At 42.7% G+C, this 27,931-nt stretch overlaps 1 protein-coding gene across 2 annotated transcripts, besides 5 other annotated features; it reads right to left on the bottom strand.

Moving 5' to 3' along the window:
• Positions 1,481-2,680: an enhancer, noted in NCBI's record as "P300/CBP strongly-dependent group 1 enhancer chr20:43124829-43126028 (GRCh37/hg19 assembly coordinates)". NCBI's record gives its function as "activates an origin of replication core promoter dependent on BRD2, BRD4, P300/CBP, MED14 and CDK7 cofactors, with strong dependence on P300/CBP, by STARR-seq in HCT116 cells {active_cell/tissue: HCT116}" and the evidence as "EXISTENCE:reporter gene assay evidence [ECO:0000049][PMID:35650434]".
• SERINC3 (serine incorporator 3) lies at positions 1,514-27,363 on the bottom strand. Of its 2 annotated transcripts, NM_198941.3 has the most exons (11): positions 27,206-27,363; positions 19,172-19,333; positions 18,094-18,287; positions 16,582-16,661; positions 15,184-15,321; positions 12,120-12,289; positions 10,094-10,184; positions 9,108-9,288; positions 6,366-6,593; positions 5,551-5,727; positions 1,514-1,648 (listed from the first exon to the last, which is right to left on the bottom strand). In NM_198941.3, the coding sequence occupies exons 1-10, from the start codon at positions 27,242-27,244 to the stop codon at positions 5,589-5,591; spliced, it is 1,422 nt and encodes a 473-aa protein (NP_945179.1). In that variant the 5' UTR covers positions 27,245-27,363; the 3' UTR covers positions 1,514-1,648; positions 5,551-5,588. The 2 variants fall into 2 exon arrangements, with proteins under 2 accessions (NP_945179.1, NP_006802.1); NM_006811.4 differs by lacking the exon at positions 1,514-1,648 and having other exon boundaries at positions 2,734-5,727.
• Positions 26,574-27,126: an enhancer, noted in NCBI's record as "H3K27ac hESC enhancer chr20:43149922-43150474 (GRCh37/hg19 assembly coordinates)". NCBI's record gives its function as "activates a minimal SCP1, AML or CMV promoter by ChIP-STARR-seq in primed H9 embryonic stem cells {active_cell/tissue: H9 hESC(primed)}" and the evidence as "EXISTENCE:reporter gene assay evidence [ECO:0000049][PMID:30033119]".
• Positions 27,045-27,354: an enhancer, noted in NCBI's record as "active region_17926". NCBI's record gives its function as "activates an Ori minimal core promoter by ATAC-STARR-seq in GM12878 lymphoblastoid cells {active_cell/tissue: GM12878}" and the evidence as "EXISTENCE:reporter gene assay evidence [ECO:0000049][PMID:35858748]".
• Positions 27,045-27,555: a biological region, named in NCBI's record as "Sharpr-MPRA regulatory region 7879".
• Positions 27,261-27,555: an enhancer, noted in NCBI's record as "tiled region #7879; HepG2 Activating DNase unmatched - State 1:Tss, and K562 Activating DNase unmatched - State 1:Tss". NCBI's record gives its function as "activates a minimal TATA promoter and a strong SV40 promoter by Sharpr-MPRA in HepG2 and K562 cells {active_cell/tissue: HepG2 | K562}" and the evidence as "EXISTENCE:reporter gene assay evidence [ECO:0000049][PMID:27701403]".

Genomic DNA, 27,931 nt, shown 5'->3' on the forward strand with positions numbered 1-27,931 from the left:
CTGTGATAGGACAGTGCATTCTGTAGATGCGCTGGCTGCCTCTGAAGATCATACACAATTAGACTGCTGCAGTATGGAGAGGAGAATGCAGCTAGCTACACAGAGCAGTAGAGGTGATATGCAAATTTTTACATTCTTGAGGCCCAGCTATACTTCTTGGACTGGCCTTGAGTCTTTCCAGTGATAGCCAGCGATTTCCTCAATGTGCGCATGTGGGCTGGGCACACATGTGTTAAGGACACTCATAAATAATGTATTTTAACCTTCAGCTACCCTTAATGAAGCTGCATTACTGTTCCTGTTGGCAAAATGTAGCTTGCCCAGTGACACACAACTAGCCAAATACTAAGGATGGGATTCAAACCCAGGAAGTATGACAAGCCCACTGTTTTCTCCTGATGGCTGGAGACAAATAACGAGTCCCCAGATAGAAGAGAGAGAGAAGGCAGGACTCTTTCATAGAGTAAGAAAGAACCAGAAATTGACTTTTTAACTGGCTTCTTGAAAATACAAGCAGTGGTTGTTAACCTCTCTGAAACCCAAGTTGTAACAACATTTTATTCCAGAAGTAAGCCCAGACTCCTTGAGGGGTAACTGGAGCACGGCTTGCCCAACTATGGTCCCAGGCCTGCTAAGCTGTTTCTATGTCCCCTGTTTATTTGGTACTCTGTGCCCCAGAGTAGACAAAAACTAGGTCCCCATGGTAGATCTGGTGACTTGATGAGTCAGTTGAGAAATACTCTAACACAGGAGGTACACTTTTGATGATGCAACAGGTTAAGTACTTATATTGCAGCATAACCACCCCTTCAGGTCAGCCTTTCCTGAGGAAATTGTGGAACTTAAGTTCAGTCTGTTTCTCACATATAGAAAAATGAAGCTAACTGTTAAAATCCTTTTCTCTCACAGCAGTCTTATGAGGCCCTTTTCCATGAGTCAGTATTTTCTTGATGCCCCCTGCCCCCTCCTTACACAGTACTGGTTTGGTACCCATACACTCAATGGCAATAAAGTTTCACATTATCGCATTTAAAGGGTAAGTAATAAGACCCTTTAGGGTACCACTCTTCTGGGGAAAACGTTTTTAACCTAATATTCATGCTTTTTCCTGAGTAGGTGCCAGCCACTAGGGATAGCTGACCTAGTAAAAGACATGAGTCACTTGCCTTCAGGTGACTACTAACTTGTCTTTGTCAGTGATGGGTAGAGGAGCAAACACTCTGTGCCTGAGAGTAGACAAAAACTAGGTTCCCATGGTAGATCTGGTGAGTTGGTGATGAGTCATTAGTGAGCCAGATGACTCCCCTACATGTCTCTAATAAATCCTGTCTCTTATATTCTTATGGCCCAAGAGACACTGAGGTCTAATTGAAAAAAGAACTCTTAAGCCAAGCCCTGGGTTTCTCTGTTTCACCTCTTACTGAGTAACCATAGGCAAGTCACGAACTTCTCTAAGCCTCAAACTGATACGTAAAAGGAAGGAGGGAGGGAAATAATCACCACCTTACAGGCATGTGGATACTGTCTGTTTAATGCTTGGTACACCTACCCATCTATGTGGTTTCTATTATTCTTCTTCACCTGAGAACATAGGCATGGTGTGGCTTGAGTCATCCAGCAGTAATTAGGACATCACTGAGTTGGGTGCCTAGGTAACAGGACGGACAGACCAACACAACAGGAGTAAAGAGATGAACAGCAGCTTCCATTAATAAGCATAAGCCTACTATCTGTTATCAATCTGCACAGATCAAATGCACAACTCATTATGTGAATACTCACTTTAGCCTGAATGTGTAAAAACAGCCAGGTGCAGTGGCTCCCGCCTGTAATCCCAACACTTTGGGAGGCTGAGGCAGGTGGATCACCTGAGGCCAGGAGTTCGGGACCAGCCTGGCCAACATGGTGAAATCCCATCTCTACTAAAAACACAAAAATTAGCCAGGTGTGGTGGCGCGCACCTATAGTCCCAGCTACTCAGGAGACTGAGGCAGGAGAATTGCTTGAACATGGGAGGTGGAGGTTGCAGTGAGCCAAGATGGCACCACTGCACTCCAGCCTGGGCAACAGAGCAAAACTCTGTCTAAAAAAAGAAAAAAGAACCAGTTACAGATTTCTTTGTTCCTTCTCCATTCCTCACTTGGCTAGCCAAAAAGAAAAAGAACAAAACCTCTATACTGAGAACCAGGTCCATGGCTACTCTTTGGCAGGCAGTTTCTTTGATTACCAAGAGAAAGTTTTACTTCCCAACCAGATAACCCGCAAGACCAACCTAGAAAATAAAGGAGTCCAGCATGGACCTAGAAGCTTTCTCCCGGCTTTAACGAGGTAAAAGTGGCAGCCACTGCTATTGCCTTTGATGAGTTCCTAGAGCATGTCCCTGATCTGAAAGCCAGGGCCCCAACCCGCATTCCCCAAGGCTAGGCAAGCCCTTTCATAGTGATGAAACATAAAGGTACTCATCTGGAATGAAAGGCCACCCTGAGATCTGATGACTCAAAATACTCCCCTGCTTTAAATGATGATCCTGGCCTTATTCAGAATGCTGTCTTACTCATGCTTGTATATAATTCAGCATTCACATGTATAATTCACTTGAGTCTTGATTAGACTACTGGTTTTCCTACTAAGAGGCAGACTTCACTACTTCTTAAGGTAGGACCAAGCAAAGCAGGGACACTGCCTCCCGACTTTTAAAGAGCATTTGTTACTTCAAATTAATATCAGTTATCATCATGAGAAAAAAATAAAAACTTTATTGGACTTTGTTACATTTATTTTACAGTTTAGTATTGTTTGTATTTTGAATTACATTAAGGCGGAGGATGGGGCACTGTAATGTTTTTGAAGTTTAGGACCTTTAAAGCTCTTAAGCTGACTCCGCTACTGTAAAGAAAAGCAGGGTATCTGCTTCACACTGGCAAAATAAGGGGCTACATTTCCCCATCTGACCCTCAAATCCCTTGAAACGCTATACCCTGACATAAACCACTGGTTTAAAAGACAATGATTCCAATAATTTATATCAAGTCCTGCTTCCCTACCCCACACCTCCACCCTAACTGAGCCTGTCCCCTCTGTGTTCCTCTGTCTAATTCTGTAACAAAATCTGAAATCCAGCCTCCATCAGATTCTGGCTAGATATCTCTGACCTTTGAATATTGTCTTATTTTAGCCCATAATGAGATCAGCAGCTACTGTCAGTGCTATGTCAGTGCTAAAAATGGGTTACACTTTGCAAAATAACTTTATTCTTTAACAATCTTGTACACTAGGCACCAACACTGAGGCTCAGCTGCCTGTGGTCATAAATCAAATAGTACGTACTCAACAAATAATAGCTGACAAGTTTGATAGCCAGAAAACGGCAAAGCTGGGATGCAAACCCAAGCAGTCTGACTCCCAAGCCTCTTAACCATTCTTAAGAGACCACCTACCTCCATTCTTCTTCGAACACATGTTTTTCCTGTTTGCCACCTGAATACGTGGAACCACCATCCACCCAGCTGGTTAAACCAGAATCACTCAGAAATCTACCTCTCCTTCATATTATTCATAACTGCCAGTGTTAAAATTCTAATTGCTGGCCAGGCACGGTGGCTCATGCCAGTAATCCTAGAACTTTGGGAGGCCGCGGCAGGTGGATCACGAGGTCAGGAGATCGAGACCATCCTGGCTAACATGGTGAAACCCTGTCTCTACTAAAAATACAAAAAAAATTAGCCAGGCGTGGTGGTGGGTGCCTGTAGTCCCAGCTACTAGGGAGGCTGAGGCGGGAGAATGGCGTGAACCCGGGAGGCGGAGCCTGCAGTGAGCGGAGATCGCACCATTGCACTCCAGCCTGGGCGACAGAGCAAGACTCCGTCTCAAAAAAAAAAATTAAAATTGAAAAAAAAAAATTCTAATTGCTAAGTAGCCCTCACCTGTCAATTTCTCCCCGTCCCTACGATTCCACTTCTCTATTTCACATCTCATATGGACTGCACCTGGTCTCATCTCTCTAAATCCATTCTCTATATATCAGCCCAAGTGACTGAAGATAAAATTTGTTCATGACACTATGAATATGTTTTCAGCCACCCTCAACATAAGGTCCAAACTCTTTACTGAGGTTGATAAAGCCCTTTAAAATTCAGTCCCTGACTACATTTCCCCATTCCAGCTTTACTGAACTTTTTTTCCCCATCTTCCTGCCTTTAACATGCAGTTTTATCTACTCCAGCAATGTCGTCTCATTTTCCCATCTCTCTCTTAGCTAACTTCTAAGAGTTCTTGGCTTAAATATCATTTTCTCCAGAAAGCCTACCATTACACCAAATACCTCTCCTTTGAGTTCTCTCCAATTCCTAAACCACAGCACTAATTCACATTATAACCACCTGTCAGCTCATTTGCTCTCTTCTCTAAGCTATTAAAGTCCAAGACGGCAGAGCCTCTATCATGTTTAACACTGTACCCCAAAACCTACAGGGTCTAGTACAGAATAGACAGTAAATCTTTGTTGAAAGAACTCTTTTATTCTACCTTTTTGCACACCACCTCTCATGAAAATGGTTCTTGACAATGCCTTCCGTCTCTCATCTACCAAGTGTCTTACCTAGAGAAGGTATTTAGGACTTTTGAATAAATTCAAGACTTTGCTCACTAGTCAGACCGTAATTTTTAGAAGGAATAGGAGCATCCTGACTAGAAGCGTGATAAAACCTGGCTATCCAGAAAATAAAGAATGGCTGCTAACTATAAAAGCTGTTGGAAGAAAGGGCCTTAAAATCTTAAAAGTCTTTGTATTTTAACCAAATACCTTCATAGTGCAAATATGATAAATTCACATGCATTTTACTTTTACATACTCATAACAAGATAGTAACACAGACTAAAGCTGCAGTGTTTTCCCAAGTGAATCTTCATTTTAACCAAACTCACAAAGCATTTATGGAAATTAATACATCTGGCAAAGCACCAGACTTGAATCAAGCAGTCTCAATGCTACAGTGTAAAAAAAGTAAATTAAAAAACTCAAGATGTAGAAGCAGTAGCCATATCAGCAACCATTCTTCTAGGGAAGGGACCCACATATACGATCCTTCCCCAAGAACTTTGATGCTACCCCGCTGAAGAGTTTAAGCACAAAACACAGTGCTTGTATCATATAAGTAAGGACTTTCATAGAGGAAAACTGTAATATAAATGCATTTTTTTTTTTTTGCTTTTAAAGGATACTGCAATATAAATATATTAAGCATGGCCTCAAATATCCAACATTTTCCTATCTTACATTTTAAACCAAAGTTAAAAGAACCTACAGGCTTTATAAAGAACTCTCTTCACAGCACAGCTGTAGTTCACTTTAAACAAAAAATGTTCCCTTTGTGCTATATCCTTAGAAGTAAACATAATATACAGATAAATGAGAAGTTTCGATTCTGCATCAAGCATTATTCAATCTCACCTTCTGATATAAACCTGCATACAGTCAAACTTGCAAAGCATTCACTTAATATTTTAGTTGAAACAAACTTAAAAGGTATATGGGTTTTCGGTGAAGGAGACCTTTGTGAGTTCCAGTGGTGTCCTTGGCACTCAGAGGTTCAGCTGAAGTCCCGACTGGTGAGGACAAGTGGAGCCACAAGGGTCCAGACGTAAAGCAGGAGGCAGACCCAGCTGGAGCTGATCTTGACCCACACAGCTGGCCACTTGCTGGTCATGCTCTGAAACTTTGCATCAGGGCTAAGAAAACAAGAGAGAGTCAGGTAGAAAAGCCTGGTCTACCTGACTTCTATCAGCCTCCTGCAGCCCCCCAGCCAAGGCCAAGAAATTCTCCAGTGAAACTTGGCTGGCACTACCCCCCAGTAGGGTTGAAGGGGACCAGAGGAAGCTGCTATTTTTAGTTCTTATGACCAAGAACTAAACAGCTCATTGACTCTGCCTCTCAAATGACTTTTCTTCTTGCCAGCATGAAAGACCCTATCAGGGCAAAGTTCTTTAAATGTTCCTAGTTACTGGCAAAGGTCTAGATTGAGATAGCCTCCCTGAAACTTTCCTTCCTTAGTACATTATTACGGGAACCAGAATGCTCTGACATGGCCATCTCTATACACAGAAAATTAGTGAACAAAGATGGGTCAGATTGCTTTATGTCATGATTTTCTCTCTCAATTAACTCAACTCTGTAAGAGCTCCCAATGATTTGCATTGCAAAGAATTCCAATGGGTTTTAAATGCTAGAGGGGATAAAGTCAAGAGTATTTAACCCAACTTCATTATATGGGTAAGAGCAAGGGTTCTGAGGTCAGGACAATGGATGAGATTTTATAGGCCATCCAAGGGTTTTATGGTCTTCTGTCTGTTTTGTCTGTGTCTCCTACCTGTACCAGCTGGTCAGGGTCATCATGATGTACAAGGAAGCCAAGCAGAGCATGAGGTGGAATAAGGAGTAGCTATACTGCACTCCCTCTTTCTCGTTGTCCACAGCCCGCCGAGGCTGTCCATCTTCTTCATCACTGGCACCACTGGTAGTTGTATCACCAAGGATGACGCTGTCACTCCCTGACAGGGTCAGCTTGTCTACTTGGCTATTAGTGGAAGTGCGGATGCTGGAAAGTGATCCCAAGGAAGACAAATCAGAAAGGGGCCATGACAATGAACTGCTGCCACTGGCCTGTATACAAGACACTTACTGCTGAGCTGTTCCTACTTTGGAGACTGAAAGCTTTCTGAAGATCCTGCTTAAAGTTCTGAACTGCTGCCTGTCATCATAAGACTGACGTCACTGTCATCAGTTACTACTTGATGTGATGGCTTAATTGCTTAGGAGTTTCATAAAACACACTATGCTCTCTGTGTCTGTTTCCGTGACTTCACAAGTGCCGCTTCTATGATTGGAAGGTACCACGTGCCAACCTCCTTCCAACTAACTTACTCATCCTTCACTTCTCTGACTTGCTGTCATGTCCTCTGGAAGGCCTTCCCTGACATCACCCCTCACTGGCTAGGTTACAAGACACTCCTCCGACTTCCCACAGCTTCCTAGGCTTCCTTCTGCCACTGCACATATCACTCCTATCTTCCTTGCTATTCAAAGAATGCCTTAACAGTGACCTTAGTCTATGTAATTCTAGCACTACAGATGTTCACTAAAAGTTTGTTAAATGACTGAATAAAAATGTAAATACAAAAACAGGACAAAAATTACATGCTCGTTTCAACAGACACAGAAAAAACATCTCACAAATCCAATACCTTTCCATGATAAAAACAGTCAAAGTAGAACTTCCTCAGGCTGACAAAAGGAACAAAAAACCCAGAGCTAACATCATACTTAACAGTGAAAGACTAAAAACTTTCCCCCTGAGATCAGGAACAAGACAAGGATCCTACTCTCACCATTTCTATCCAACAATGTAGTAAAATTCTAGCCAGAGCAAATAGAAGAGATAAATGGTATCCAGACTAGAAAAGAAGTAAAACTATCTCTATCTGTAGATGACTTCATCTTGTTTATAGGAAATCCTATGGAATACATACACATGCAAACTATTAGAACCAATAAATAAGTTCACCAAAGTTGCAGGATACAAGATCAATATATAGAAATCAGGACTGGGTGTGGTGGCTCACGCCTATAATCCCAACTACTTGAGAGGCTGAGGTGGGAGGATCGCCAGAGGACAGGAGCTCAAGACTGGCCAGTGCAACACAGCAAGACTGTTCCTAAAAAGATTAAAAATTAGCTGGGCATGATGGTGTGTGCCTGTAGTTTCAGCTACTCAGGAGGCTGAGGTGGGAGGATCACTTGAGACCAGGAGCTTGAGGCTGTAGTGAGCTATGATCACACCACTGCATTCCAGCCTGGATGACAGAGCAACACTTCTTCTCTTCAAAAAAAAAAAAAAAAAAACACAAAAATCAATTGTATTTCTTTTTGAGATGAGGTCTCACTCTGTCACCCAGGTGGACTGTAGTAGTACAATCACAGCTCACTGCAGACTTGACCTCCTGGGCTCAATTGGTCCTCCCACCTCCCCAAGTAGCTGGGACTACAGATTGCACCACCACACCTGGCTAATTTTTATAGAGACGGGCTCTTACTATCTTGCTCTGACTGGTCTCAAACTCCTGGATGCAAGCGATCCTCCCACCTCAGCCTCCTAACGTGTGGGAAATACAGGCATGAGCCACCATGCCTCGTCACCAATCATATCTCTATACACTAGCAATAAACAACCCAAAAGTTAAGCTAAGAAAACATACATTCATTTATAATACCATCGAAAAGAATAAAATACTTAGAATTGTATTTAGAATAAAACACTTAAAAACAAAATAAGTTTAAGATTTGTATACTAATAACTAACTATAAACCACTGAAAGAAATTAAAGACCTAAATAAATGGTTTAAGTAAAGAAGACTTCAGTAAGGTATCTTCATGGTCACAGACTGGAAGCCTTAATATTGCTGAGATGACAATACTCCCCAATTTGGTCTATACAGATTCAACTCAATCCCTATAAAAATCCCAGCTACATATTTTTTTGCAGAAATTGACAAGCTGATCCTGAAATTCACATGGGAATGCAAAGGACCCATAACTGCCAAAACAATTTTGAAAAAGAACAAATTTGGAGGACTCATACTTCCTAATTTCAAAACTTACTACAGGCTGGGCATGGTGGCTCACACCTGTAATCCCAGCACTTTGGGAGGCTGAGAAAGGAGGATCACCTGAGGTCAGGAGTTCGAGACCAGCCTAGCCAACATGGTGAAACACTGTCTCTACTAAAAATACAAAAATTAGCCAGGCATAGTGGCAGGTGCCTGTAATCTCAGCTACTTGGGAGCCTGAGGCAGAAGAACTGCTTGAACCCAGGAGGTGGAGATTGCAGTGAGCTGAGATCCTGCCACTGCACTCCAGCCTAGGTGACAGAGCAAGACACTGTCTCAAAAAAATATATATGTACACAGCTCTGTAACTGAAGCAAGTAAAGAACTTTTCATTAAAGAGAGTGAAGTTTTTAAATTTCTCATGCTGCTTTTTGAAAGCAAAACAGCTTCTTCACTTTATTATCAACCTCCATGAAAATCTTGTTCTAAGTACCTTTTAACTTACCTAGAATACAAGAGGCAGAGAACAAAGACAAACAGTCCAATAAAATTATCTGAATCCAGTAAAGACCCACTCTTTGATGGTGGAGTAGGGGTAGGGACCACAGCAGTTGAATTTCCAGGAGCCAGGGTTGGTGCAGTTATGCGTGTAATAAAGCTCATCAGGTTGGGATTGCAGGAACGATCTGAAAATGAGAAAATTTGTATTATCCTTGGTTACAGCTCATCTTGTTCCAAGAAAGAACTTGAGGAGTTCCCTACATATCATTCAGTCATGATGTGAAACATGGGAATGCTTTACTTAAAAAATCTGAAACTTAGCAGTCAGTAGTAACACGTTTGGTCACAATCAATGACAGAATTAGGAAAAAAAAAGAAAACAACAACAGAATCTGTCAAATTTCATAAACATCATTATTGATTTTATTGGTTTTGTAGTTTGACAAATCTTTTTAATTCTTTAAGTGTCAAGGTTTTAAGCACAGAAGTTTATCTCTATTTTGGTTTTTACATAGTTACTTAAGAACAAAATATAAGTTATCATTGGTGGAAGGGGGGTCTGCATTGTTTTCCTTTAAAAGAAGCCCATAGAATATCCTACTGAGAAACAATCCTATAATAACTACAAAAGGAGATTTCCTACAGCTGTTTCTTCTACAGCCTGTGACATCAAACTAAAATTCAGTCACAACAAAGGGCCAAAGCCCTTGACCACAGCTCTTAACTAGTTTGACTCAGCCTAGGTTAGGTAAAGCCTAGACCATCTAAAGGACTCTGACCCTTTAGACTGTCAGTTATAAATAGCTATCAATAGATGTGGGGACTAAAATGTGAAAGGTAAATACCTACAAACCTACAGTGAACACTGTACGTTTAAGTTTTGTTTGCTTGTTTCACATTTGCTCTAGCTCTAGTTTTTGTACCAACTATGTAAAGGCTGATTTCCTACTTTCTTTTTATCAAATGAATGTGTTATTGACATTCCCTTACCAGGTTCATTGGACATGGCTGACCAGGTGAGGTACATAGTGTAGAGGGTGATGAGGGAGGACTGCAAGAGGCCGGAGCGAGGCTGGTGTTCCTATGGAATCAAAAGGAAAACAGTGGCACAGGGACTGCCAAGGGCTGACTTTCCAAAATGCAGTGCACTTCTCTGGAGTTAATTCAACTATCAGTAACTGAGAACTTTCGGATTCTTCTTGAGAGTTGAAAGGTGACAAGTAACCTTCTGTTCAGTTAGCTCGCAAAAGAACCCAGAAAGACCAAGCAAGTACTACTGGTTCTCAACGCATTTCACAATCCTAGAAATTCCTGTGCATCACACAAGGACTTTGATTTTCCACTCCCTTGGTGTAGTGAAAAGATCTAAGATCAGCTCTGCAACTAATTAGTAGCTGGGAGAGGCCTATCACTTCTTTGAGACTTCTGTTTTCTCACTTTTAAAAGGAAAGGTGATGTCTAGATAGAATTTTCATATTTCATATCTATAACTCCATGAATTTTTTTAAACGGTTTTTTTTTCTTTTTTTTCTGAGACGGAGTCTCGCTTTTGTCACCCCGGCTGGAGTGCAGTGGTGCGATCTCAGCTCACTGCAACCTCCTCCTGGGTTCAAATTTCTCCTTGCCTCAGCCTCCTGAGTAGCTGGGATTACAGTGCCCGCCACCACACCCGGCTAATTTTTGTACTTTTAGTAGAGATGGGGTTTCGTCATGTTGGCCAAGCTGGTCTTGAACTCCTGACCTCAGGTGATCTGCCCGCCTTGGCCTCCCAAAGTGCTGGGATTACAGGCATGAGCCATCACGCCAAGCTGGAGTTTCGCTCTTATTGCCCAGGCTGGAGTGCAATGGCGCAATCTCAGCTCACTGCTACCTCCGCCTCCAGGGTTCAGGCTATTCTCCTGCCCCTCAGCCTGCCAAGTAGCTGGGATTACAGGTGTGCGCCCCCACGCCTAGCTAATTTTGTATTTTTAGTAGAGATGACGTTTCACCATGTTGGTCAGGCTGGTCTTGAACTCCTGACCTCAAGTGATCCACCCGCCTTGGCCTCCCAAAGTGCTGGGATTACAGGCGTTAAGCCACCACACCCAGCCTAAACTATGGTATTTAGAACTCAAGAGCATGAGTTTTGTTTTGAAATATTAAAATCAATTATTTTTCAGTTTAATTCCCCTAAAATATCTTGGCTAATGACTCATAAGAATCATTCCCAGCCACATGCGGTGGCTCACAACTGTAAAACCAGCACTTTGGGAGGCTGAGATGGGTGGATCACCTGAGGTCAGGAGTTCGAGACCAGCCTTGCCAACATGGTGAAACCCCGTCTCAACTAAAAATACAAAAATTAGCCGGGCATGGTGGCAGGCGCCTGGCCAAGGCTGGAGAATCACTGGAACCCAGGAGGTGGAGGTTGTAGTGAGCTGAGATTGCACCATCGCACTCCAGCCTAGGGGACAAGAGTGAGACTTTGTCTCAAAAAAAAAAAAAAAAAAAGACTCATTCCCGGCCAGGCGTGGTGGCTCACGCCTGTAATCCCAGCACCTTGGGAGGCCGAGGCGGGTGGATCACGAGGTCAAGAGTTCAGCCTGGCCAAGATGGTGAAACCCTATCTCTACCAAAAATACAAAAACTGGCCAGGCCCGGTGGTGGCTGCCTGTGATCCCAGCTACTCGGGAGGCTGAGGCAGAGAACTGCTTGAACCCAGGAGGCAGAGGTTGCAGTGAGCCGAGATTGTGCCACTGCACTCCAGCCTGGTTGACAGAGCGAGACTCCATCTCAAAAAAAAAAAAAAAAAAAAAAAAAAGCACTATAAATTTTCAAGTTACCTGGGTTTTTTTTTAATGATAGTGAAATTCATTTAATTATGATATAGGCATGAAATAGAATTATGAAGACTTTATAATATGGAAAAATGTTCAAGTGGATAAACTTAGACATAAATTCATAAGAAAGGGTACCTAGATTTTAAGCTTAGAATTAAAAACCTTTCACAGGAGAAAGAAGTAGTAAACAATCATACCTGAATTTTTGGGTGGATCGATATAATAGAAGCCACAACGCAAAGGATCAGGTTAATACTGATGAAGAACTTGTTTTCTGTGCAGCCATCTGGTTTGGTGTAATATGTATAGAGCAGCCCGACACAGATGATTGACAGGATATAAAAGGCGCTTGTGAAAGACAGTAAAGCTGGAGAAAGGGAAACCAATATGAATGACCACAACTATAATAAACTAATAATGAAGGCCAATTTTCTTCCACTCCATATAAAAATGAGGAGACATTATGTCACTTTTCTGGGGTAATTTACAGTAAAATTACAGAGGTCTCAAGGTTAAAGTATCAAGATTGTATTCAATTGGCTTGATGTTAAATTCCAAAATCCACCAAGCAACTGAATTCACTTCCTGAATTACCTGATTTGATTTCATGGGTTGATTACCAGACATTTGATCATTCCAGCTAGAGTTTACTGCTACCTATATGTTAATTAATGTGTATTGTGAGCTTTTCTTAGGAACCTAAATGATTCCTTTACCCTCAAAATGACCCAGTTCACAGCAAGCTCCATGCCAGGATGGTGTTAGAGGAAAACAGAATACACACACTGGTATCTTTTTATGACAGTTTTTTCCTCTGCAGCCATTGGCTATCTAAATCCATTTCCCATCACAAACAATAAGACTGTCCCTGAACTGGAAAAGTGGCTCATTTGCTATTTTTTAATATCTAAAGTAATGGTCTTTTCCATTCACACTAAAAATCAACAATTAGCTGTGTTGGCTGAACATGGTGGCTCATGCCTGTAATCCCAGCACTTTGGGAGGCCAAGGTGGCTGGATTGCTTGAGCCTGAGTTCCAGACCAGCCCAGGCAACATGGCCAAACCCTGTCTCTACAAAAAATACAAAAATCAGCCAGGCATGGTGGCATAAGGCTGTAGCCCCAGCTACTTGGGAAGCTGAGGCAGGGGGATTGCTTGAGCCCAAGACATAGAGGTTGCAGTGAGCCGAGATGGTGCCACTGCACTCCAGCCTGGACAACAGAACAAAACCCCATCTCAAACAACAAACAAAACAATTAGCTGTGTAGCTCTGAAAATTAGAAAACATGAAACAGCACATACAGTACACTCAGACCAACTGCAAGAATGATGAGCTCAGCTAACTTGTATTCAAGTCAAAGCCCAGATTAAGAAAACTAGTTTCTACTTATCTCAATGAATTTTGCATGTCTAAAATTAAATGATGTACATTAAGTTACTAGCACACTTAATGTTTTCACCTCTGAATATACAAGATTTTTCTACACTTAGTTACTGTAAAGTATGACCAATTTGCAACTCAATAAATTCTTCTAGAGTTGTATGATCCAAAATGAATTAAAGAAAATAACAGCCGGGTGTGGTGGCTCACGCCTGCAATCCTAACACTTTGGGAGGGCAAGGCAGGTGGATCGATTGAGTCCAGGAGTTCCGGCAACATGGCAAAACCCTGTCTCTACAAAAAACACAAAAATTAGCCGGTCGTGGTGGTGTAGGCGTGGTAGTGTGGGTGTGGTGGTGTGCACCTGTAGTCCCAGCTACTTGGGAGGCTGAGGTGGATAGCTTGAGCCAGGAAGGCAGAGGTTGCAGTGAGCCATGATTGTGCCACTGTACTCCAGCCTGGGTGAGAGAGTGAGACCCAATCTCAAAAAAAAAGAAAAAAAATAGATAAAAATAAAATTGTCATTACAAACAATTTAAATGACCAACACTAGGGTAAAGGTTAAATAAATTATGGTATACTCCGCTATGGAATGCCATGGAATTGTATGGAATGGAATACCATGCAGCTTACAGTAAACTCCATGCCAGGAGCTTGAATGCAGGTTAAATGAGTAAGACATACCTACACTCACTGGTAAGGAAGGATATTCATCATGTAGGAAGTGAAAAGAGCAAGTCATGGAACAACATACAGTACAATCCTGTTTACATTTAAATACAAAAGCAAGGTGAATGCATAAATACATAAAGGTTCACAAGAGTGGCTACATCTGGAAAGGAAAATGGGTTGCAGATAGGTGGAGATTTGCATGTTTTAGTCTTTATAAAGTTCTATCATTTGTCTTTATGGTAAACATAGTATTTTTAAAAACATGTAAATATTTTAAAAAACTAAATCAAATGAAAATAAAACTGCGCAATTCAATAGTATGTACTGAAAGCATTTTAAAATATTCATACACTTTGACTCTTCTATTTCTGGGAATCTGTCCTAAGGAAATAATCAGAAATGTGTGCAAATGTATATTATGAAGTAGTAAGTGCTCTAACATAGCCAAAATATATTCGCAAGCTACTGTTAAATCCCATTATCACTCTAGAAATTGTAAGTGCCCCTTTCCCACCAGAAAGTTTTTCATAGCAGGTATGGGGCCCCTCTCTGAATAAGGCCATAAGGACTACTCACTCCTATCTGCCTAAAGTAGGTGGGCAGCTGTCCCATATGTTGAACCCATCTGAGTTTCCTCTCCATGGAAACAAGGTTATCAAAACCAGAACTAAGTCACTAAATATAACTGTTTTTCCTTATCTAAACACATGTAATTAAATTATGACTCTCAAAATACATAAATTGGGAAAATCGAACAATTTATATTATCTGTGCTACTTTCTTCCAGTGATGCATATAATTCAGAGCCAAATTCTGGAAATTGTGGATTTTTTTCCTTTTATTTAATGTTATTATTATTTTTAGAGACAGGGTCTTGCTCTGTCACCCAGGCTGCAGTACAGTGGCATGATGATAGCTTACTGCAGCCTTGAACTCCTGGATTCCAGAGATTCTCCTGCCTTAGCGTGCTGAGTAGCTAGGACTATAGGTATATGCCACCATGCCTGGCAAATTTTTTTTTTCTAATGTAAAGATGGAGTCTCAATATGCTGCCTAGACTGGTCTTGAACTCCTGGATTCAAGCCATTCTCCCACCTTGGACTTCTGTCCCTGAGGACTATAGCTGCTGGGACTATAATGATGATTTTTATTGTACACCGTGCTTAATGTAGCAGTATGGCTAACATAGGTGAGTAGAGATACCTACCAGCATACCACAACCTTGGGTTTCCTTCTTCCATTCGATTTACCCATGATTCATTCCAAGAATGAGCAAAATCTACCAGCAGCACCAGCTGAATGAGGATGAAGAGGGCGGCCCCTATCATGCCAACAACAAACCAGACTACAAGAACCAAGAGAACAAAGTTATTCTCTACCATAGAGTAACATTTCAGAAGATCCAACATTCTGAACGGATTTCAATTAAAACAAGACAGAGGTGGTAAAGACATTCTGTCTCCAGCAGTACAGCAAGATTCCAAACTCAACGGCATTCTTAAAAGCTTTCTACTGGGTTTCAGACCTTTTAAAATATGTTTTAGCTTGTGCCAAGGGAAGCCTGGGACCTGAGTTCCAAATGATACTATAAGTCTTTTCTTTTAAATCACAGTAGAAATCTAAAGATGTCACCTGATGCCATGCTTAGGAAGTAGGTTAAGACAGAGATAGGGGAGCACAAGAGTTGTAAGTCCTTATTTTGACAGGCTCTCTGATTAGCTTTGTATTCCATCAAGTGAGAACACAAACTATTAAGATATTGCCAAAAGATTAACATATGGTTCCAGAAAATCTGAGAGGTGCAGTGAATGCCTCCTGACCTAAATCCACATATTAATAATGAGTTGCAGCCGGGCGTGGTGGCTCACACCTGTAATCCCAGCACTTCAGGAGGCTGAGGCAGGTGGATCATGAGGTCAAGAGTTCAAGACCAGCCTGGCCAAGATGGTGAAACCCCGTCTCTGCCTAAAATACAAAAATTAGCTGGGCGTGGTGGTGGGCGCCTGTAATCCCAGCTACTCGGGAGACTGACGCAGAGAACTGCTTGAACCCAGGAGGTGGAGGTTGCAGTGAGCTGAGATCGTGCCACGGCACTCCAGCCTGGGAGACAGAGTGAGACTGTCTAAAATATATATATATATATAGTGAGTTGCAGGTACTAAGTCATATTAATCGGATACCATCTCATTTACTTGTCAGTTCTACAAAAACAGTAATTAAAAGGTAGTTTTGTTTTGTTTTGTTTTTTGAGACAGAGTCTTGATCTGTCGCCCAGGCTGGAGTGCAGTGGCACGATCTTGGCACACTGCAACCTCTGCCTCCCAGGTTCAGGCAATTTTGCTGCCTCAGCCTTCTGAGTACCTGGAATCACAGGCGTGCACCACCACGCCTGGCTAATTTTTGTATTTTTAGTAGAGACAGGGCTTCACCATATTGGCCAGGTTGGTCTCAAACTCCTGACCTCAGGTGATCCGCCCGTCTTGGCCTCCCAAAGTGCTGAGCTTACAGGTGTGAGCCACTGCACCCGGCCTAAAATGTAGCTTTAACTCAATCATCTATAGAGTTTATATAGTTTAAAATTAACCCCCTCAATGGTGAACCCTACCTGAGCTGAAATAGCCCCCAGGGATGTAGAAAGAGCCAACCATGATTCCAATAAGGGCAGCAATTTTGAAGAACCAAAACCTATTAAAATATAAAAATGCATTTATGAAATGCTAAGTTTCACCCTTATACTGAGAAAAATTCATTTCTGAAATGCAAAAATAATAACTTAATAGCTTTTTTCCCAACATGATTGTCTGGACTATTTTCTTCATTTGACTATTCATTTAATAGGCTAATTCATTTAATATTTCACACAATTAAAGGACAACATTAGCCTAGAAGATAAATCACTCACATTTATTACCAGAGAAAACTGAAAATTTAGAGTCTCCCTACTTTTAGCACTTAAAGGTAGGCATTTTTCTAGCATTCTGGGAGTTCTAAAATAACAGTGTTAGGTACACACACAGCCATTAACTGTTAAGGTCTGGATGAAAAGTAATCACAAATATTTACAACACAGGGCACAGATACCTTGCCCACAATGACACAGCTCATCACTGGCACCTGATTTTCAGTTCATGATCTTTAATGACTGCCTTGTATGGCAGAGTGGAAAGAACCAGGCTTTGGAGCTGGACAGATCTAAGTTTCAATCTTAGCTCCAACCTCCAACTGGTTAACAGGTCTCAGACAATTTATTAACCTCTCTGCAGTTCAGTTACTACATCTGTAAAAAGGGGATTATAATACACATCAAGTTTATAAAACGCCATTCAGTCTTTGAGAATTAGAAATACGGCTGGGCACAGTGGCTCACGCCTGTAAGCCCAGCACTTCAGGAGGCAAAGGCGGGCGGACCACCTGAGGTCACGAGTTCTAGACCAGCCTGGCCAACACGGTGAAACCCCATCTCTACTAAAAATACAAAAATTAGCCAGGCATGGTGGCAGGTGCCTATAATGCCAGCTACTAGGGAGGCTGAGGCAGGAGAATCACTTGAACCCGGGAGGGGGAGGTTGCAGTGAGCCGAGATCACGCCATTACACTCCAGCCTGGGTGACAAGAGTGAAACTCCATCTCCAAAAACAAAACAAAAAAAAAAAAAAAAAAAGGAGAGAATTAGAAACATAGGTAAAAGGTGGTCAGGAGTCAGAAGCAATAGAATATGTAAATCAGTAGCACATATATATTCACTGACTTTTGTACACTGTTTAAATTTATCAGGTACATGTTTATCTTTAAACAACAGAAAGAAAAAAGTGTGTGTGTACGTAGTATCTAGCATAGTGCTTCAACTATTTAACAGGTGTTCAATAAAAATCTAAGAACATGAAGCAAAGGAATTTAATAGAAGAAAATAAAAAGACAAGACCCCCTATCCCCTCCATGTTACAGCAATCTAACTGAAAATGACATTAAAACAATTTCACATGCATAATAGATCAGAAATGCATCTGAGCCACTCATTTACATATTCCATTGATTTCATCAGAATGGCTATATTAACTGCTGAAGGGAAGGAAGAGCCACACCATAATGTAACCAGTTAATCATAAATCTAACATACCCATTGTGTACTGCCGCTCGGAGATCTTTACTTGTTTTTACTTTGAACATGAGCAGAGAAAAGACAAAGAAAAAGATGGCCATGGCAAAGCTGATCCGATACACAGCTTTATAACCAACCAGCACATCACAATCTTTATCTGCATTTATATCAGCCTCATGGATTTTAAATCCCCCTTCACAAAATCCAGGAATCTGGAAAAAAGCAATTTCAATGTTACGAGAATATCTACATTTAGACAGAGACTCTAACCCACTGCAGGAAAGCCTGGATTTAGAAAATTAACTACTTCAACAACTGCAAGACTGACTATGGAATTTTTCTCTTTGTCTTCCAATTCATTTACAATCTTGTTACCAAACAGTATAAATAACATGCATTTTAAAAATAAAAATGCTCTCTCGGCTGGGCACGGTGGCTCACATCTGTAATCCCAGTATTTTGGGGGACCGAGGTGGGTGGATCACGAGGTCAGGAGTTCGAGACCACCCTGGCCAGCATGGTGAAAACCCTATCTCTACTAAAAATACAAAAAATTACCCGGGCATGGTGGTGCATGCTTATAATCCCAGCTACTCGGGAGGCTGAGGCAGGAGAATTGCTTGAACCAGGGAGGCGGAGGTTGCAGTGAGCCAAGATCATGTCACTGCACTCCAGCCTGGGCAACAGAGTGAGTCTTAGTTTCAAAAAAATATGGTCTCTCTTCTTTGCCCTTTTAGGATGAAGAGGCTGTGTGCCACTTTCCTGTGAGATTTTCCAGCTACGACTGAGTCCTTCCAAAGGTGAAGAACTAGTCCAGTTTAGATGCTTCGACCTTTAACACATAAGGAAAGAAAATGTTTTGGAGCCACCCTTTTAATGTTTTCTCTCAGTTGTTCGACTGGAGCCCAGATGTTCATTCTGTATTTCTGGAAAAGGACTAATGTCCTCATATTTCTGTGTTTTGACCACACCCCCATATAAGTAAAAAATCTCCAAATTACAACCAACTTGATTAACAACGACGAAATAAAACTAGAATTTTGCAGAATATAAAAATAAAAATAACCAATACCTTAAGGGCACTGTTACTTCTTACCTTCTTCAAGTAAGTTTCCATCTCTTTTCTCTGCATGATATAGGATACGACAGTGCTCAGGAGGAGAATGAAAGCATAAATGAGGCGAGTCACCGTGGAATTCTTACTGTTAGGACAGCAACTACACAGCAAACATGAGGCACCGCTGCAGAGGCATGGAACCTGGAATGAGCACACCATGGTCACCTGAGACCGCCTTCAGTATACTCCTTTATGACACAGATGTCGCAGAAGAGAAAGCGAGGCAAATCAGGCTTTATAGTTTTAACTCAGAGAATCATGGCTGGGAGGAAGTGGTTAAAAGTACGGGCTCTGGAGTAAATATTATTTCTGCCGCTTTTTACCCCAGCAAGTTACGTACTCTAACCCCATTTGACCATTTGTAAAATGAGCTCAATAATGGAATTTTCCTCCCTCAGACTCTGCTGTATTAAATGAGCACTCAACACTACCTAAAATGCATTAACAGTTCAATAAATGTTAATTATATTCTGAGAGCATCATTTGTTTTAAAATATGAGAAAAATATAAACCTAACTCCACTTGCTGCTTACTGCGAATCCAAGTTACCAAAGCTGATATTACAACATAAAGCAACATGCCGGGCGTGGTGGCTCACGCCTGTAATCCCAGCACTTTGGGAGGCCGAGGCGGGTGGATCACAAGGTCAGGAGATCGAGACCATCCTGGCTAACACGGTGAAACCCTGTCTCTACTAAAAATACAGAAAAAATTAGCCGGGTGTGGTGGCGGACGCCTGTAGTCCCAGCTACTCAGGAGGCTGAGGCAGGAGAATGGCATGAACCCAGGAGGCGGAGCTCACACTGAGCTGAGATTGCGCCACTGCACTCCAGCCTGGGCTACAGAGCGAGACTCCATCTCAAAAAAATAAAATAAAATAAAAAAATAAAGCAACACTACATGGAAACCCTCTGACAAATAATAACAGCAAGGGCCATTTAGCTCAATTCAAGAGGAACCAGGTTCCTCAGAAAGTTAAATACAGAATGACCATATGACCCAGAAAGTATATACCCGACCCCAATAGCTGTTTTGTTTGAAACTGCTATTAAAACAAAAGCTTGTACACGAATATTCACAGCACCACTATTTACAATCACCAAAATGTGGAAACAACCCACTGTCCATTAATTGATAAGTAAATATGGCCTAAGTAAAAATATGGTATATCTGGCTGGGTGCGGCAGCTCACACCTGTAATCCCAGCACTTTGGGAGGCTGAGGTGGGCAGGTCACCTGAGGTCAGGAGTTCAAGACCAGCCTGGCCAACATGATGAAATCCCATCTCTACTAAAAATACAAAAATTATCCGGGCGTGGTGGCTCATGCCTGTGGCCCCAACTACTCAGGAGGCTGAGGCAGGAGAATTGCTTGAACCCAGGAGGTGGAGGTTGCATTGAGCTGAAATCATGCCACTGCACTCCAGCCTGGGCAACAGAGTGAGACTTGGTCTATCTATACAATGGCTTATTCAGACATAATAGATAGATACATGATAGAACACAGGTGAACCCTGAAAACATCATGCAAAGTTATTTAAAAAGCCAGACATGAAAGGTCACATACTGTATTAGTGCATTTATATAATAAAATATCCAGAATAAGTGAATCTAGAGACAGAAGATTAGGGGTTGAAGGGAAGGGAAATGGGAGTGATGGTTTAATGGGTAAAGGATTTCCCTTTAGGGCGACGAACTAGACAGATGTGATGGCAGCAAAACATTGTGAATGTACTAAATGCCACTATACGCTTTTTTATTTTTTTTTTTTTGAGACAGTCTCACTCTGTTGCCCAGGCTGGAGTGCAGTGGCACAATCTCGGCTCACGGCAACCTCCACCTCCTGAGTTCAAGCAATTCTTGTGCTTTAGCCTCCCAAGTAGCTGGGACTACAGGTGTGCAATGCCACCCCCAGCTGATTTTTTTTTGTATTTTTTAGTAGAGACAGGGTTTTGTCATGTTGCCCAGGCTGGTCTTGAATTCCTGAGCTCAGGCAATCCACCCACACTGGCCACCGAAAGTGCTGGATTACAGGCGTGAGATACTGCACCCGGCCCACTAAACATTTTGAAATGGTTAATTTTATGTCAACTTTACCTCCTTTTTTTTAAAGAGTAACCTAGGGCCAGGCGTGGTGGCTCACGCCTGTAATCCCAGCACTTTGGGAGGCCAAGGCAGGTGGACCACAAGGTCAGGAGTTCAAGACCAGCCTGGCCAAGATGGTGAAACCCCATCTCTACTAAAAATACAAAAATTAGCCGGGTGCAGTGGCAGGCACCTGTAATCCCAGCTACTCAGGAGGCTGAGGCAGGAGAACTGCTTGAACCCGGGTGGCCAAGGTTGCAGTGAGCCAAGATTGTGCCACTGCACTCCAGCCTGGGCGACAGACTGAGACTCCGTCTCAAAAAAAAAGAGTAACCTAGATCTTTAGTCTGCTAAAATCTGTTAGTGACCACACTACATGAAAGAAGATATAATTTTATTTCTTTTTTTCTTTTCTTTCTTTTTTTTTGAGACAGGTTCTCACTCTGTCTCCCAGGCTGGAGTGCAGTAACGCCATCTCGGCTCACTGCAACCTCACCCTCCTGGGATCAAGCAATTCTACCTCAGCCTCCCAAGTAGCTGGGATTACAGGGATTACAGACACGTGCCACCATGCTCAGCTAATTTTTGTGTAAAGACAGGGTTTCACCATGTTGGCCAGGCTGGTCTCGAATTCCTGACCTCAAGTGATCTGCCCGCCTCCGCCTCCCAAAGGGCTGGGATTACATGCATGAGCCAATGCACCCGGCCTTTGTTTTGTTTTGTTTTAAAAAGACAAGGCGTCACTCTGTTGCCCAAGCTGGAGTACAGTTGTGTGATCACAGCTCACTGCAGCATCAAACTCCTGGGCTCAAGCGATCCTCTGGCCTCAGCCTCCTGAGTACAAGCAAGCACCACCATGCCCAGCTAAGAGAGGATATAATTTGAGTCATTATGCTTGATTAGGAAACTGCTTGAAATTGCTCTGAGGGGGTGACATTATCAAGTCATATTACAAGGACAAGCTAATTCAGAATTAGCAGAAGTAAACAATGGATAACTCTGGTCTTAAAATATGGTCCCAGGAATAATCTTCATTTTTTTATAGATGGTATCTTGTGTGCACTTTATGATAATTTTGTGTGGTTTGCAGCAGGGTGCTAACATTCTAAAAAAGTTCAGTTTTCTCATCTGTAAAAATGAGCATAATACCACCTACTCGAACAGGGTGATTGAGCAAAGAATGAGATGATGTCAGGAATATAAAGAACCTAGTATAATGCCTGACATATTTATCAGGCTCAATATATCGTGGTAGCCATTATTATTTGTAATTGCAATAGCAATGGGAAATTGACCAGCCAGTCTCAGTCTCCAATTCTTAACTACAGTATAGGCCAAACACTGCAGAGGCATGTCCTCCACAAATTCTTATGTTGAAGTCCTAATGCCCAATTCCTCAAAATGTATCCTTACTTGGTCACTGCAGATGTAGTAAGTTAAGATGAGGTTATATGGAGTAGAGTGAGCAGCTAATTCAATATAACTGTGTCCTTATAAAAAGGGGAAACTTGGACAAAGGCTTACAACACAGGGAGAATTCCACATGCCATGTGAAGGCAGAGATCTACAAGCCAAGGAACATCAAAGACTGCCAGCAAACCAAAAAAAAAAAAAGCCAGGGGAGAGGCATGATACAGATTCTCTCTCACCACCCTTAGAAGGAACCAACCCTGCTGACACCTTCATCCCAGACTTCCAGCCTCTAGAATTCAGAGATAAGAAATCACTGGGTTTAAGCCACTCGGTCTGTGGTACTTTGTTATAAAGCCCTGGCAAACTAATAAACTTACTTACCTATAGTTGTCTTAAGAATGTAAATATCTCGAAGGGGAGACTATCTTTACAACGTTATATCTTTTGTATCTTTACAGAGCAGGTACTCAGTAAATATCTGTGGGACAAATCTGTCCTACTATATGTTATGTCATTTTTCTATTTCAGTAAATGACAACTCCATTCTTCCTGTTGCTTGGGCCCAAAACCTGGAGTCATCCCGAATGCCTTCCCTTTTCCCAAAATCCTCATCCAATCTGTCAGTACATCAGCTCTACCCTTAAAATATATCCAGAATCTGACCATTTTCACAGTATCCTTAGCTATCACCTTTGTCCAAGCCACAACTATCATCTCTCATCTGGATTAAGCGCAAAAGTTCCCATCTCACAGCTGTAGCGACCCATTCAGAAGCTCTGAGTTGGCCGGCACAGTGGCTCACGCCTGTAATCCCAGCACTTTGGGAAGCCAAGGCAGGCAGATCACCTGAGGTCAGGAGTTCAAGACCCGCCAGGCCAACACAGTGAAATCCTGTCTCTACTAAAAATGCAAAATTAGCCTCAAAAAAAAAAAAAAAAAAAAAAGAAGCCCTGAATTGTTATAAAGATTATTTTAAGCTTTTAAGCTGAAGCATCTGAGCTTCAACAGATGCAGAGGAAAAAAAAAAGCCTTCTGGGAGCTTCTCTTATCTGACTAAAAGCAGCAACTTCTGGGAAACGAGGCTGCCATAAAGTCCCTCTCCAGGGCAGTTTTAAGATCATGAAGAAGCTGGAAAGACCCACCATACCTGCATAAACAAGTACTACCACAAACGTATTTCCTATTTATTCTCCTAAAAAAACTTGTCTTTCCTAAAGAAACCTATTTGTTCTTCTCATAGAAGCCTTTCTCCCAGCTTCCTTTTTCCTACTAAATTAGAAAGCCTTGGCTGGGTGCAGTGGCTCACACCTGTAATCCCAGCACTTTGGGAAGCTGAGGTGGGCAGATCACCTGAGGTCGGGAGTTCAAGACCGGCCTGACCAACATGGAGAAACCCCATCTCTACTAAAAATACAAAATTAGCCAGGCGTGGTGGCACATGCCTGTAATCCCAGCTACTTGGGAGGCTGAGGCAGGAGAATCGCTTGAACCTGGGAGGTGGAGATTGCAGTGAGCCAAGATCCCACCATTGCACTCCAGCCTGGGCAACAAGAGTGGAACTTGTTTTCTCAAAAACGAAAAAAAAAAAAAAAGCCTCAAGTTCTAACCGCCCCCTTTGAGTTACTATTACTGAGCACTCCTGTGTGTACATGTCTTGCATGCATAAACTCTAAATAATCTGTTTTGTCAGTTTAATTCACAAGCCCCCAGAAACAGAACCCAAAAGGCTGGAGGAAGATTCTTCCCAGCCTACACTGCTTTACCTTTACTTTTCTACCATCTATTCTCCACACAGCAACCAGAAACCACCTCGTTAAAACACAGGCCCAGATCACATCACTCCTTTTTTCAAACTCTGTAATAGATTCCCATATAACTTAAGAGTAAAAGCCGGGCAAGACGCGGTGGCTCACACCTGTAATCCAAGCACTCTGGGAGGCCGGCGGATCACGAGGTCAGGAGATTGAGACCATCCTGGCGTGAGCCACCATGCCTGGCCTTCAACTCACCAGGATTTTCTAATGTGATAGAAGATAAAAGAAAAATTGTACAGTAAACGATTATTTCATAAAACTTTGTCTCTATATGGGTGCATCAGATCACAGATCAACTATGTACAATCTTTCTTTAGGTCAAGGTCAGAATAATTAGAAAACCACTGCTCTCAAGAAAGCCCTTAAAAATGGAACACTCTTTTGATTTAGGACCAACAACCTTAAAATACATTCTGTTCCTAAGAAATAGTGGAATGAAGCCAGGCATGGTGTCACACACCTGTACTGGGAAGGCTGAGGTGGGAGGATCACTTGAATCCAGGAGTTCAAGGCTGCAGTGAGCTATGACTGAGCCACTGCACTCCAGCCTGGGTGACAGAGCAAAACTCTGTCCCCCTCCAAAAAAAAAAAAGAAAAATAGTAGAAAGAGCTGAAACAGAATCCTTGGTGTAATACTGTCAAATATATGTATGTTTGGTTCCCATTTCCTGGCATACAATTTCTAAAATCCTTGGAATAACCAGCGTCTTTTTGTATGCTAATGAGATGACTGGTGACTGGCAGCCCCTAGGTGGCTTCATGATGGGTGAGGGTCATAGTAGGAGGTTGGGACTTTTCAGTCTCACCCCTGACCCTCCAAGGAGGGGCTGAAGGTTAGGTCAGTAACCAAAAGCCAATGATTTAATGAATGCTGACTACATAATGAAGCCTGCATAAAAGCTCAGAAGGACAAAGTTCAGAAGAACTTTTGGCTGGGCATGGTGGCTCACACCCCAGGAGTTCGAGACCAGCCTGGCCAACATGGCGAAATCCCGTCTTTATTGAAAATACAAAAATTAGCTGGGCGTGGTGGCATACACTATAATCCCAGCTACTCCGGGAGGCTGAAACATGAGAATCCCTTGGAGGTTGAAGAGAGCCGAGATGGCGCCACTGCCCCAGACAGAGCATGGAAGCTCCAGACCCGTTCCCTCTACACCTTGTCTTACATATCACTTCATCTGTATCTTTAAAAATATATTAATAGTAGCCATAAAAAAAGAAGAAAATCATGTCCTTTGCAGCAACAAAGATGCAGCTGGAGGCCACTATCCCAAGTGAATTAATACAGAAACAGAAAACCAAATACAGCATATTCTCGCTTACAAGTGGGAGCTAAACACTGGGAACACAGACACGAAGATGGCAACAATAAACACTGGAGAGTCCAAGAGTGGGGAAGGACGGTGGGGGGATAGGGGTTGAAAAACTACCTGTTGGATACTGTGTTCACTGTTTGGGCAACGGAATCATTAGAAACCCAAACCTCACGATAAGGCAATATACCCATGTAACAAAACTGCATATGTACCCTCTGAATCTAAAATTAAAAATACATAAATACACAAAATAAAATACTTTTATAATAAACCAGTAAACATGTTTCCTTGAGTTTTGTGACCAAATTAATCAAAGCCAAGGAGGGAGGTCACGGGAACTTTGATTTATAGGTGGCCGGTCAGAAGCACAGGTAAAACAACCTGAGGCTTGCCATTGGCACAGAAAGTGGGCACAGTCTTGTGAGACTGAGCCCTCCACTTGTGTGATTTGATGCTATCTCCAAGTAGAGAGCTTCGGAATTGACTTGTAGGGCACCAAGTTGGCATCCCCTGCAGAGCTGACTGTTTGCCTGATGTTTGGGGGAAAATCCCCACACACCACACATCAGGTGTCAAAAGTGTGTTGTGAGTACAGCAGGAGAAACTGAGTGTGCTTTTTCTACACACTTGGTCAATTAAATCAGCTGGAGAATGAGGAATCAAGGAATCACGCTCCTCTGAAGTGGGTAAATGAGGGAACTCAGCATATTCTTTTATAGGCCCTATAATTTTCTCTTTAAAATGTTTACAGTTTACAAGGTGATTAAACCTTCACTTCACTGTCACAATCGTTCTCGAAGAGAGGAATGCTGGGGTGATTATCCTCGGATAAATGACTTACAGCAGTCCCAAAATATTCAGGCCCTGGTTTCCAATTTTGAATAACAATCCACAAGGGCTTCTTTCCCTTGCACCTGAACTGCAGACAAGCCTCCGCTAAAACCCCAGCTTTGCCACACACTCTGTAGTTTTGGCAAATCCCGTGCTAGGGGATAAAAATATTACTTGAGCCACCTAGAACTAAATGATGGCACCTTAAGAGGTGCTTCGGGAGGAACCGGAGCCCCTCGCTGGGAGCTGTCATTCCTTGGTCCCTCTCCAGCTCCAGAGGAACCTAGTCAGGAAGCCTCGCAGGGCGGAGCCATCCGAATTGTAAACAATGGCGGCCTAGCCTCTTCCGTTCCCCGAGGAACCCGGAGGGCGAGCCGCCTAAGCTGGACCTGAGGGTATCGCGGATTTGCGTCTGGGGCCCCGGAGACCCTCTGTAGCCCAGGGCCTGCTGACATCCCGAGAGCCTCTGGAGCCAAGGCCCGTGCAGCTCTGGTCTCGAGGCCTTTCCCCGCAAACCGCAGGTCCGGCGAGGACTCGGGACCCCGAACTCACCCAGCTGGCGAGGGAGAAGACACCCAGCACAGCCCCCATGGTGACGCCAGTGATGGAGGTGGCCGGTCCTGAGGCTGCTTTCTAACACGGTGGTAACTGCCAGCTGAGGTGACTCCCCAGAAACATGACGGTTTCTCAGGCCGGAAACGCAGCCTTCCACAGACGCACGGATGCGTCACGGCGTGGCCCCGCCCACCGTCCGCGACCGGAGCGGCAGAGGGGGGCGCCTGTCATTGGCTGAGGGGGAAGGTGGGGCTAAACCATCCTGGGGTTGCAGGAACTGTGAAGGTGTCATTCCTTACATCATTTGTATTCATTGTGCAAAGATCTGGAAGTTACAGAAGTGTACAGAGAGGCACAGTACGCTCAGAATTTATTCTCTAGTTAATAGGAGATCTGACAACATAAATGCACCGTGCCCCAATGTAATGAATACGATGAAGTAGTATGGGGGAATAGGCTTTCAATAAAGGTGTATTTAGTGCCTCCTATTGTAAGGGGAAAGTAATTTAGCTGGGCAGTAGTCTTGGAAGGCTTCTCTGAAGGATTTATTTTTTAATCTGCGAACTAAAGGATGAGTCCAAATTAACCTAGAAACGATGGAAATCGTATCCTAAAATGTGGGATGCACCCCATTTGGGAAAAATGAATGGCTCTAAGGGTGCATGAAGGACATTAAGCGATATTAAACAGCAGAGTGAGAACGTCCCATTTCAAACCAACAGG

The sequence above is a fragment of the Homo sapiens genome, chromosome 20 (assembly GCF_000001405.40).
Source record: "Homo sapiens chromosome 20, GRCh38.p14 Primary Assembly".
Classification (NCBI taxonomy): Eukaryota; Metazoa; Chordata; class Mammalia; order Primates; family Hominidae; genus Homo; species Homo sapiens.